The 13,283-nt window shown below is 45.4% G+C and overlaps 1 protein-coding gene and 1 long non-coding RNA gene across 7 annotated transcripts in view; one reads left to right on the forward strand and one right to left on the reverse strand.

Annotated features, from left to right (window-relative positions):
• Positions 1-13,283, forward strand: part of SLC14A2 (solute carrier family 14 member 2) — a 515,726-nt gene that overhangs the window by 481,685 nt on the left and 20,758 nt on the right. The window lies entirely within an intron of this gene.
• The window catches only part of LOC105372093 (uncharacterized), a 176,501-nt gene that overhangs the window by 43,312 nt on the left and 119,906 nt on the right, over positions 1-13,283 (reverse strand). The gene's annotated exons all lie outside the window — the stretch shown is intronic.

Here is a 13,283-nt window from a genome sequence, read left to right on the forward strand (position 1 = left end):
TGGTGACATATTCTTTGACCCTTTGCATGTCCACAGAGTTTCTTGCCCTGGCAGACGGCGACATTTTGGAGGCGAGGGGCTCCTGCCCTGCAGTCTCTCCCCTCAGTGGTCTCTAGATATTGTTCCTTCATTTTCTGGCTTTTGAGTGTTACACATGAGAAATCTGGTGTCAATCTCATTCTTTTTCCTTTGTGAATAACCTGTTCTTTCTTTCTAGATGACAGTTAGTTGTCCTTTCTGTCTTCGGAGTTCGGGAATTTTATGAAGCTAAGCCCAGGGGCGTGTCTTTTCTCATCAATCCTGCCTCTTAATCTGCAAACTCAAGTCTTTCTTCAGCTTAGCAACTTTTCTTCTAAGATTTGATTATTGGTTTCCCTCCATCTCTTCCTTTTTCTGTTTCTGGAACTCCTATATCCATGTGATGGGCCTCTTTGATCTCTATTTCGAGTTGCTTATGTTATTCTTCACAATTTTTATCATTTGTATTTTGGCTCTGCTTTGAGATATTCCTTCCATTTGACCTTCCATTTGACCAGGCCAGTGATTTAGGTCCCAACAATAACCTTTCTTTTCTTCAATTCAATGGATAAGTTGAATTTTTTTAGTTTAAAAATCATGTTTTTAGTTTCAGAAAATCTTTGAGAGCTAAAATAGAAGATCCATGTGTGTTTATGATTTTTTTTTTAATTTTCTATCTCCTCTTGCTCCAGAAATCAGATGCAGCTTCTCACAACTCCTGGCCCCAAGCTTCTGCCCATTCCCCTTAATCCATCACAGATGGGCCCCTGTGTAGCCTGCCCAGGGCCATTTGCCAACTTTCATAAGCTGAGAAACTCTGTCTGCCTCATGGTCTAACCTCATTCACTCATTCATCCAGAAGACATCGCATGAGAAACTATTAATGTGTTACTCAGGCCCCAGGATTGACAACAAACCAGGAAAGAATCAGACCAGCTCCTGCCTTCAAGGAATTCATTTTATGGGAATTTACCTGGCCAGGTGAATAGTCTCACCTGAGGTGAAGATGAGGATGCGGACTGCCTGAGCCCACTGAAATTCACAGCACCACAGGTGTTTTGGGTTTTTTTGTCTTGTTTTGTTTTGTTTTTGAGACGGAGTTTTGTTCTTGTTGCCCAGGCTGGAGTGCAATGGCACGATCTCGGCTCACTGAAACCTCCACCTCCCAGGTTCAAGCGATTCTCCTGCCTCAGCCTCTTGAGTAGCTGGCATTACAGGCACCCACCACCATGCCCAGCTTTTTTTTTATTTTTAGCAAAGATGGGGTTTCACCATGTTGGCCGGGCTGGTCTTGAGCTCCTGACCTTGTCAGGCTGATCTTCTGTTTAAAAAGTGTTTTAGGCATGATTTTAAGGGTTCCAGGAAGATTTCAGTGCCTTGTCCCCTTGTATCCCCTATCTTTCCATTACCTGCAGCCCAAGCATTCCCAGCCATTCCTTCAACTTAAGGCTTTGAATCTGTTCAACTGTAAACAGTCCTGAGAAGGTACCACAGTAAACATGATCAATCATTTGTATCTTAGGCCAAAGGAGCCATTTCTGAGAACAGTTCTGATGAAAGGGGAAGAAAGAGTACAAAGAAAAATGGGTGGCACATTTCGAGAGGGTCTTTGGCAAAGGAGGGCATGCCAAGATGAGGCCAAGCTGGATGGATGAGGGTCTGGAGCACCATCATCTCACAGGGGATGATGAAGCTGGTTGTGTTTGGCTTGGAGAAGAGATGAAAGAGCTGCAGCCGTGTGTGTCTGCAGTATTAGGTAATGCATGTGGGAGAAGTCAACTTGTTCAGTGTTTCTCCAGAGCACAGAGGGAGTGCACTAGGTACGAGTGATAAGCAAATGGACTTTGAATCAGTGGAGAAAGGCACTTTTTAACAATGGAAGTTGCTTGAGAGATAATGTCCTATAAGGTCCTAAGATTTCTGCCCTGATAGTGCAGGAGCAGGGTGTGGAGGCCGGTTGGAGATGCTTGTTTGGGGTGGGTAACCAGACCGGATTACCACTGCGGCCTCTCTTTTCCAATTCCCAACGTTCTGTGATTCTATGGCCCTGAGTTCCCATGGAGGAATAAAGAGGAGTTATCGCCGAGGTGGTAAAAAGGTAAGAACATGAAGACCATGTGTACCAAAAATATGCCACAAGTGCCTTTGCTACTTTTCTAGAGCTTAACCAGTTAGCCATTTGGCCACTTTACCAAAATGCTCAACATGGTTGCTTACATGGACAAAAGCTGGGGACCAACATTATTCAACTCTCCTTGGCATTGACTTTCTCCTTCCCATCACTCTCCTCTCTGAAGGGACTCTCTTTCTGGTCAACCCTCTAAGATCTGCCTGTCAGGAAACTGTCTTCGCAGCCTGAGTTTGTGGTTATATCAGACCAGTGTGCAAACATCGTGGAACATTTGTTTATGCTTTCCTGTATGAGCCTAAACTTTGTTTTCTTGGGTCATAAAGGTTTTGATGGCCTGAGGACAGCTCTAATCTAAAACCAGGTGGGGGCTGGCAGTTTCAGTATGGGCATGATTTCTACTCAATAAACCATGGTCTCATCTGGTAACTTTAAAGGCATTCACATTTTATGTGAGACTTTTTTTACTTGCCTGGTTTTTCCTGTCTCTAGCCATTCAGAGAAGATGAAAGAATACACAGGGAGCCCTTCTACCCCAAGTGGAACTAGAAATTCCAAGACCCCAAGAAGGGGGCAAGGGGGAAAATGACAAGTCCTTTTTAACCCTCTGCAAATTGATAACAAGGACCTCCCAACCCCCTTCTACCGCTGCACAGGCTGCTAGAGCAGAATGAAGCAAAGTAAGCAGCCCTTTGGAGAACTTCCAGCTCCAGCTTGCATTTATTCCACATGGACTTGGGCCCTTTCCCTTGGAGGATCTGACCTTCCCAAGTTTAGCTCCTGGTGGTCAATGCAGGCCTCCTCCCTCTGTAAAGTTGAAAACGTAGAATTGAAGGAAGCCACGAGCATTGTGAAGAAAACCTTGTTCTGAAGCGAATTTCAATTGAGCCTTCAAATAAAGAGTGTAGGCACAAATTGATCTCTTGAAGAGCCCTTGGTATCTGAGCTCTAGCCTTTATCTAGCTCTAGTCAAGGGGACAAGATTATATCTTGGCCTTCTGCTTTCCAAGGCAGCACTTTATTGCCCCACCCTGAGTCTAGTGTTTGTGACAGATACTCACTACATCTTGAAGAACCACAGTTCCATTTGGCTAATGGAATGTGTATGAACTTCCTGAAAGCCTTCTTAAGCAGTCATTTCCTGTCTTTTCAAATTAATGACATATTGCTCACAGGTGGCTCCCTGTTATGTCTGGAATAGGTGGATGCTTAGGTAGCTGGAGTGAGCGCATCTCAAGAAGTTCAGGAGCCCTTGGGAGAAGCCAGGGCAAGAGAACAAGGGACAGCAGCAAGGACTGAGCCAACAGACCAGCCAGCAGGGACAAGAAAAACGTGAAGGCTCCGTGTTAACCAGCAGATAGCCATGGATCCTGAACTAGCAACACAAGGACAGGCCTCCATGCAGGCGACCGACCTCCCCTCCACACCATTCCCCACCACTCCTTGGAATGTGGGGGCCTGCTGGGCTCCTCCCACCCCCTTTGTTTGCTTTCCTTCCTCACAAGGCCCTCGTGATTAGGACCCCTCTTCAACAGTTCCAAAACACCTGGCACAGTGGGAAGGGGGCCTTTGACGTCAGTGGGGGAGTTTGTCTACTCAGGTGTAGCTAATTTCCTCAGAGTGAGGTTTTGCTTCTGAACCTGGGTAGGCTGCCTCACACCCCACCACTGAGTGTGTGTATGTGAAAGTGGCAGGGCAAAAGCTTGGGGGTTGATGCATGACCCATCATACTCACAAAGCCAAACAAAACATGTTTGGATTGGGCCCCCTCCCCAAACTCCAGGCCCCCAGACCCTATGGCCTCATGGGACTTGCAATGGCCAGCTCCCTAATATATAGATCTCAGAATTCTTCCTGCTGGTGGGGGTTCGTCACACCCTTCTTGCTCTGAGAGGGTCCTGCAGTGAGCCTCCAGGTCCCCAGGACCCCAGTCAGCAGGAATCAGAAGGAAGAAAGGTCTGAAAATTTCCATAGAACTAGAAAGGCAGCATCTAGTATTGGGCTGTGCAGAAATTTCCATTCAGATGCTGATGGCAATACTGTTCCCCAGCCTGTGCCCTGCCCCTATGGGGAATTAAGGGAGTTTATTGAGGTGGGAAGGCAAATTGGCCCCCTGAGGGGATAACACTTAAATAATAGCTTTAAAGGCAAATGCTGGAGCGAGAATTCTAATGAGAGGTGCAACTGGGAGGTAACCTGTGGGACAACAGGGAAGCTACCAGACAGTCCCCAGCTCTGCCTCTTTAAAGGAAACCTACCTGATCCAACCAGGTCGGGGGAACCATGGTAGCTGAAGCTAGTCCTCCCCAGGGAGTTTAGGAAATAGTCTTTTGGCAGGAATGCTGGGGGGGACGTGGGTGAGCTGCAGAAGGGGCATTTGTCTTTCTTCTCCCTGATCCTCCATGGTACCCTTCCTCAACTGGCAGACGTGCGCCAGGCAACAGGTTCAGGGAACGCAAGCTAGTGAATTTATAGCAAGTCAGACAGAGGATGAGCTGGAGGGCTCAGGGAGGTGAAGGGGTTGGTGTTTAGGAGAAGTCACAGCACCTGAAGTTGAGGACCAGAGACGCCGCCCAATCAGAAGGAAGCTGCTTCTTTCTAGTCCCGATGATCTAGATTCCTCCTACTGCGTGCAGGAAATCAAAAGGAGCCCAGGTAAGAAGTCCTGGGGGAGAGAGCTGAACCAGGTACACGTCCTAGCCAACAAAACCACTTAATTCTTCAAAGGAAGAGAAGAAAGAAAGGCTAGTCTTGCTCTGTTTCTTCCTTCTGTTGAACTGCATCTGGGGAAGACAGTCCTGGGGTGGGAACCTTACTAAGAATTCCAGAGACAACATAGATTTTGGAAGCTTCGAGCTGGGTAGGCTTTAATAGATGAGGAAACCACGGCTTGTACAGAGACTTGTCCAGGTGGTAAATGAGGCTGGACAAAAGTCCAAGTGTCCTAACTCATAACCCTGAGTACTTCCTGCTCACCTGCTGATGAAACAGGCTCATCCATCAGCCCTCAAATCCCTCACCACCACACACACCCACTGGATGAGCCTTCTCGTTATTTGTCATCCTTTCCATGACTCTATGACCCACAGCTGTGACATCAGTTTGGTTTCCAGGGCAGCACTGTGCTGAGTTGGGCCTCTGGGATGTCACCTCTGGCTAATGAGATAGAGCTGAATACCTTCTGCCCACGATTCATTACCTGCAGCTTCCACGGAAGATGCTTCTGCTCCAGGCTCCTTGGCCTCTCTCCTCAGTTCCTGTACCCCTTCCTCAGAAACACCAATAGAACTGGGTTCTCCAGTGTCCACAAATGTCTTAACATCCCAGCTCCTAACAACCTGTCTCCTCAGGGTCCCCCTTTTACATACTCAGATTACTGTAGACCTAGTCTGTGCAGCCACTGACAGTGGATGTGTCTGGAAGACAAATAGCCATGCCATAAGGAACAACATCCCAGGATATTGAAGTTCTCTGATCAGAGAATGGACAGCCTTGTAAAGTATGTGATATCCTCCAAAACCAGCACCAAACGATATAAGCCTTGGTGAACTTGGTGAGGGAAAGCCATCCTGTGAGGCATGAATGTGCCCAGATGTGATAGGTAGTGTCCGGCCTCTACCTACTATCACCACCCTGGCCTCGTTGGACCCCTTCTCTCAAATGTATACAATGTCCACACCCTTCTGTGTGGCTACATTTACTCTAAAGTGCCTGATTGGTATTGGCTTTCAGGATCATTGTGTTGACAAGGATTCTGAGGCTGTATCTAGACTTACAGGGAAAGAGTGCTGGGATCAATTAGCTACGTCTGCCATAGGTTGCCATAGCTTCTGCATAGCTATGTCTGCCATAGGTAGCGCAGAAGAAGGCATAGAAGAGCATGTGGAGAAAGAGAGTATGAAAGAGAAGCCAGTATACAATTGCTCAGAACTTTCTATGGCCTTTCAGGGGGTATTGCGATTGGGATGACACACAGGTGTTCATTATTTTTTGGTAATTTTTGTAACTCCTTTTGAGATACAAAATAATTCTTAATTTTTTTAATTTAAAAAGTTGCAAATCCATTGATATCATTTGAGAAGGCTCCAACTGTCTGTAAAACACCTACCATTGCAGGAGTAAATAATCCAAAACCAGGAGGTCAAAAACTTGCTTCCTAACTGATCAGCTGTGTGGCCTCAGGTAAGCCACTTATCTCTGGGCCTCAGTTTCCTTCTGCCAATGCTCAAACTCAAAGGATCACTTGGTTACACGGAATTGCTAATTCCAAATAGTTTCATTAGATTGGAATGTATGTATTGAATACTTTTTATGTGCATTGTAACTAACAATAGGAAACTCCACTGCGGCCTCAACTTCAAAAGGTGTAGTCTAGAGTAACCTCTGCAAATACAATGGGAATTCAAGGGCTGGAATCATCCATATGGCCAAATAAGCCAAGGATGTCTTCATGGAGGAAGTAGAACACAAACCAGACCTTGAAAGATGGATAGAACTTAGGCAAGAAGAGGGATGGAGGGAGAACAGAGGGCCAGTGATAAGGCCAGAACACCTTGGCAGGGTGTGCGTTGGGAAAGAAAAGGGTGAAGCTTGATGAAGTTGTTGTAAACACATCAGGAAAGCCAGGCAGAGGAATTTGAGCACAATATTCTTGGCAATAGGGAGCATGTAGGTTATTGAGTAAGAGAGTGACATAATAACATGGTCTAGCCGCTGAAGCTAAGAATGGATTGAAAGAGGAAAGATCAAAATTAGGAAGACTGATGATACAGACATGCAATTCTGAGGGTGTGGGCCAGGGTAGGAACAGTGAGAAGAGAGTGCAAAGTCATTCTGGAGAAAAATCAGTCTGGTGTCCCGCAGTTAGAGATGGGGTGCTCTGACCTTTGTACTCTCTTTAACCTCATTTATGAGGCTTTATCATCAGGCATCATGAGGTTCAATAAGGCATCAACTTATTTATGCTAATTAACGTCTTCCCCATGGAATAAGCCAAAGACACCGAAAGAAATGAGATTTAGGCTAGTCCTTTGGCCAACAAGTGAGCTGCGTGGGAAGGAGAAGAGAAAGTTTAAAGCATTTGCTGTGAGGATGAGTCTCGCTTCTTTCAAGGTAACAGTGACTCATACCCCCACCTTCTTAAAAATAAAAAATTGGCTAATGGATTAAGAAGTTGAGCCTTCCAAGTAATTTTATCTCCAAGTGTTCCCATGGACCTGGTCTTCCTCTTCATTCCATGCATCTCTCATCCACCTCCCAGTCCAGATAGGAAGTCTCAGGAAGACTGGGGTTTTTCTTGAGGAAAGGGAGCCATGGTTTAAAGAGAAATAGATTCGAGAATACCTACCTTAGGCCATTATATTCCAAAGCAGAGTTGAATTGAAAGATTTTGACTAGGCCGGGCACAGTGGCTCACGCCTGTAATCCCAACACTTTGGGAGGCAGAAGCGGGTGGATCACCTGAGGTCAGGAGATTGAGACTATCCTAGCTAACACCGTGAAACCCCATCTCTACTAAAAATACAAAAATACAAAAAAAAAAAATTAGCTAGGAGTGGTGGCATGCGCCTGTAGTCCCAGCTACTCAGGAGGCTGAGACAGGAGAATTGCTTGAACTCTGGAGGCGGAGGTTGCAGTGAGCCGAGATCACGCCACTGCACTCCAGTCTGGGTGACAGAGCGAGACTGTGTCAAGGAAAAAAAAAAAAAAAGAAAGGAAAGAAAGAAAAGGAAGGAAGGAAGGAAGGAAAGAAAAGAGAGAGAGAAAGAAAGGAAAGAAAAGAAAGAAAAGAAAAAAGAAAGAAACTGAACTTCCAATGGGGAGTAAGGTTTAGGGAAATAAATCTTAGACTACAAGATAAGAGAGAAGAGACACCTATGTCTTATCTACACTCAGCTCTGCCAATAGCTGTGTGGCCTAGGGCAAGTCATTCCATTTCTTGTGGCCTCAGTTTCCAAATCTGTAAAATGGGAGAGCTGGACAAGATCATCTCAAAGCCTTTTTCAATTCTAACATCCAATGCCTTAGAGAGTTTAGAGAATGATCTTTGAAAATTTCAACTAAATATAACTTCACAGAAAAAGGTACCATCCCACTTACCACCCACAAGTATCCATATCGCACACACAGAGAATAGCCTAGGAAATTACAAGTCTTAGTACAAAGCTCAACTTCCATGTGGAGAAACATTGTCCAAACTGTGGCCAAAGCATAGTCAGTCAAAGCATAGAACTGGTTGTAGAAAAAAAAAAGATCAAATTATACGTGATGTGTCACTTCAAAGACAGTGGTTCTGGTATTGCAGCAAGGAAATTGCCTTGTGGTGTGTGGGTGTGTCCACAAACAACAGATCAGAGGAGTAAGAGGCCCAGGAAGCTGGGGAGGGATGGCAAATAGGTCTTGATGGTAGCCTCTCATGCTCCTTATGTTGGACATTGCAACTGAAAGATGGACAACATCAATCCCCCCCTAGGAGAGAGTAAATCTTGTTCAAAACCTGAGAAAGGGCCAGGTGTGGTAGCTCACGCCTGTAATCCTAGCACTTTGGGAGGCAGAGGTATGCAGATCACCTGAGGTCAGGAGTTCGAGACCAGCCTAACCAATATAGTGAAACCTTGTCTCTACTAAAAATACAAAAATTAGCCGGGTGTAGTGTCTCACACCTGTAGTCCCAGCTACTCGGGAGGCTGAGACAGGAGAATTGCTTGAACCTGGAAGGCGGAGGTTGCAGTGAGCCGAGATCATGCCACTGCACTCCAGCTTGGGTGATACAGCGAAACTCCAACTCAAAAAAAAAAAACCTGAGAAAGACAACTCACAGAAAGTGTAGAGGCATGGACCTGTTTGGGTAAAGGTTGATATTCAGAAAGAGGGTAGATTATTATTTCCCCTCTGAAAGAAGTCACATATGATTTAGGTTTATTTTGTTCCTCTCAAAGAAATTGTAATAAGTGTTATAACTTTATTTCACCAGTGGGCACTTCTATGAAATCTTTTTTTTTTAACCTCTGATATTTGAACAGTTGGCATGAGTTAGAGGCATGAGTCCTTCAGGATCACTACTCCCAAGGAAAGTGTTCCTGAACAAATCATCATGGCTCATAACTGTTCTTTCCTTCTCTGAGTCAATCAAAAGAAAGCACCATTGGCCTCCTGCCTATTAAAACACAGGATGATGGCAATCCTCGAGGGCAGGGACCGTGCCCCTGAAATGGTCCTGAAAGGCCCCCAGGGTGAAGCTACATGCACCGGGACACTTAATAAGGCTTGTTAGAGGAGGGGAGAGCAGCAGCTCCTACACCAAGCAGGTATGCCGAGGAGTTACTCAGCTGCTGAGGCTCACCCACAGGTTTTCCAGGACATGCGTGTAACTGCCCAAGAGAGCCACCCCTGACCTCCAAGCAGCCAGGTGCTGTAGCAGAGTCCCTGGGCTCAGGCCCTCTGGCCATAAACATCATCTGTTTACTGCACCATGCTGTACAAATACTATTTTTAATGTGTGCCATGATATTGGAGGTGAGGGGGTGGCAAAAAGTGATTAAGGCAATTATTGAGTGCTTATTGTAAACAAAATTTACTCTTGAGCTATAGAATGCCCAGCCTCACCTCAAAAGAGCTTAGGGTTTCACAACCAGACGGAATGGACTTATGTAATATCTTAGGAACCAAAATAAACCACAGGGAGCCAGCTCTCCATCTTCCATGGCCTATTTTCTTCTCTTTCATTAATTGAGTTCTTCCAGCTACTCTTTCAGAGCTCCTGTGTTTCTTGTTAGTTGATCATAAATGACCAACCTTTATATCACCGTCTATAAACTTCCACTCTTTTATCCAAGTAACACTAGAAATAATCAATCCTTGCCCTGCAATTTCCAAAGCCTCACACAATTCAGATATAACTTTTATCAGTCTATGAAGGACTCTCACCTATATTTCAGTGTCTATCAAACATTTAACATTTATACTAAGATACATTATTTTACAAAAACTGTTTGTACCCTGAAATATCTAATGACTTTGTCCATTATACTAGTCAGAAATTAAAATACAGGCTGGACGTGGTGGCTCATGCTTGTAATCCTGGCATTTTGGGAGGCCGAGGCAGGAGGACCACTTGAGCCCAGGAGTTTGGGACCAGCCTGGTCAACATAATGAGACACTGGCTCTACAAAAAAAAAAAAAAAAGAAAGAAAAGCCATGCATGGTGAGGCATGCTTGTAGTCCCAACAATTCCGAATGCTAAGGCAGAAGGATCACTTGAGTTCAGGAGTTTTAGGCTGCAGTGAGCTATGATTGTACCATTGCACTCCAGCCTGGACAATGAAGCAAGATCGTGTCTCAAAAAAATATTAAAATGCATAGGATAATTATCCCTCAGTAATGTGTTCAACAAACTACAGTATACCACATTCATGATAGTTAGTGGGGAGCCAAGCAAGGTAAAATGGCATAATCCTGGCTGTCAAAGATCTCACCATCCTACAAAGGTGACAAGTCAAGAACATATGATTAACTCTTAGCAAGGTAAGAGTCAATGCAGGTAGGTGTAAAATGCCAGGTGTGCCCTAACGATAAGGAGCTATCTTGCCTGGAGCAGAGGGGCCTAGTTCCATCAGAGGAATGTGTCCTCCCTCAGGAGATACCAAATGTTCACACATTTGAACACTGCAAATTTATTTTCCAGCGCATTTCGTAAGCATTATCTCATCTCCATAACAATATCAGAAAGAAATGGCAGGTACCCCTCTGAGATATCTGTCATCATTTACAGTTTGGGTTTGCAAGGTCAACCCTACAGGGTCTGTATATTTCTTTCTGGGAGAATTTCATGCCTGCCATTGAGGAAACTGTCAGTGGGATTATGTGACTTGCAAAACACCATGCAGAAATTAGTGACTTCTGGTTCCCACCAGTGTTACTGTTTTCTTTTCTCCCCACCTCACCAATGGCACACCTCATTTCTAAACATTTGATAGACATGTTCATAATCTTCTTGAAAGTGTCTTTATCCACGATGAAAGTCCTAAGAATTTGTCCCAGAGGCCAGTGGTAAATTGCTTTATCACCTTCACTGTAAGTGTCTGCACAGACTTGAGAAGTTTGCTATTTTATCTCTAATCTTCTTTGTGGCATCTGTTCCCCTCTTCCATTCTCAACTCTTGGCTGCCACATCGTGAGGAGCTGCTGCCCTCCCTGGGTGGTCTATAGCCCAGCACTCCAGTCTTGGCCATGTGAGAAAGGTACTTTCTGTTTTTGATTTTTGCAGCTGGGCCATCAACTCTAGGAACACATAGCACAGAATCTGGGCTGCTAACTGTGAAGAATCAGGGAGTGGAGGCTGAGCCACTGGCCTTCTGTAGCCATGTCAGCTCTGCCAGGGCAATCACCTACCCACCCATCCAAAGACCTTCCATCAGCAAGCCCAGCACTCTCCACCTGTGTTACTATGGCTGACTCCTCAGTGAACAAATCTGGAGTATCTTAACAACCGGTAACTTTCCAGGTAGATGTTGCCTTGTTTTGTTAAACTGGAGTGCCTCTTTGGATATATGAAGAATAACATTGGTTAGTAAATGGTGTTTGTCATGCCCTCCGATATCCAGGTACAGGCCCTAGACTAAAAGGAAAACTCCTTTCTTGCACCAAACAGGTCTGTGCCTTTCGATATAATGCAGCATCAGGGTGGAAAGAGCAGTGAATTGGGAACTGAGAGACCCAAATGCAATTCCTAGCTTTGCCAGGATTAATGAACTGTATGATTTGGGTGAGTTAATTTCTCTGAATGGGGAAGGTGAACTGTGATCTTGAAACTCCCATTCAGTTCTGAGTTTATGATTCTAAGGTCAAACTAGGATTACCAAGGGGATGACTAGGGTAGCAGACACTTGGCATATGAGGAACAAGAAGCAGTGGACTGGCAGAGGTGCCTTCCCAGTCTGGCAGACATGCTCTGGGGAATGGCACTATGGGAGAACGCCCCACTTGGTCAGGTGATGCAATGATACCCCTCATCATCCTGCATGAACCCTGCCTGCACAGACGTCCCAGGACAAGTTGACACTCCAGGTATCTCTGAAATGCAGAGTTGAGGGGCACTTCTCAGTCTTGGGAGTTACAGCTCAACACTGACCCCTGGACAGGATGCTGAAACAGTAGCTGCTTCTCCATCCTGAGCCAGAGGGAAGGGACACGATCAGGTGTGTAAACTTTCAGCATAAAAATATAGACAAGGCTGGGCGCTGTAGCTCACGCCTGTACTCCCAGCACTTTGGGAATCCCAGATGGGTGGATCACGAGGTCAGGAATTCAAGACCAGCCTGGCCAAGATGGTGAAACCCTGTCTCTACCAAAAATAGAAAAATTAGCCGGGTGTGATGGTGGGCACCTGTAATCCCAGCTACTCAGGAGGCTGAGGCAGGGAATTGCTTGAATCCGGGAGGTGGAGGTTGTAATGAGCTGAGATTGTGCCACTGCACTCCAGCCTGGGTGACAGAGCAAGACTCCGTCTTAGAAAAAAAAAAGTGTAGACAAGACCTGCTTTCCTTAATCATGCATGCCCCACAGACCCTCTTGTTGTTGGCCCTGCTATGTTCTGAGCTTTGCCATAGTTGTTTCTACATAAGCAGTGTGATCTACCCCAGTGCTTTCCAGCTTTCGTATGCACACGAATCAGCTGGAGATCTTGTTAAAAGCCAATTCAAATTCAGTAGTTCTGGGGTAGGGCCTGAGATTCTGAATTCCAAGCAAGCTCCCTGGTCCACAAACCAGACTGAGTAGCAAAAATGCAGAGAAAAGGATTGGGAGCTGAGTCATGTGACTCACCATTTGTAGGATGCTAAAGAAATCACTCTGAGCCTCAATTTTCCACCTTTTAGTGATAATATATAGTGCCCATTCTATTCAAGGCACTGCTGAAAAGGCCAAATGAGTCAACCCAGAAAATATGCAGATGTAATAGTGTGAATGTTTTCTACTGTTCCAAGCAGCTGCTGGACCATCTAACTCTAGTGTGTACTGGAGCTCCAAGCAGAGCAAGGTAAAACTGCATACCCCCCAGGATCACCAGATTTTCCAATTACGAGACCTGGGTGTGGGTGAGGCAATAGGGCTAGGAGCATGCACTTTAACAAGACACCAA

The sequence above is a fragment of the Homo sapiens genome, chromosome 18 (genome assembly GCF_000001405.40).
Source record: "Homo sapiens chromosome 18, GRCh38.p14 Primary Assembly".
Taxonomy (NCBI): domain Eukaryota; kingdom Metazoa; phylum Chordata; class Mammalia; order Primates; family Hominidae; genus Homo; species Homo sapiens.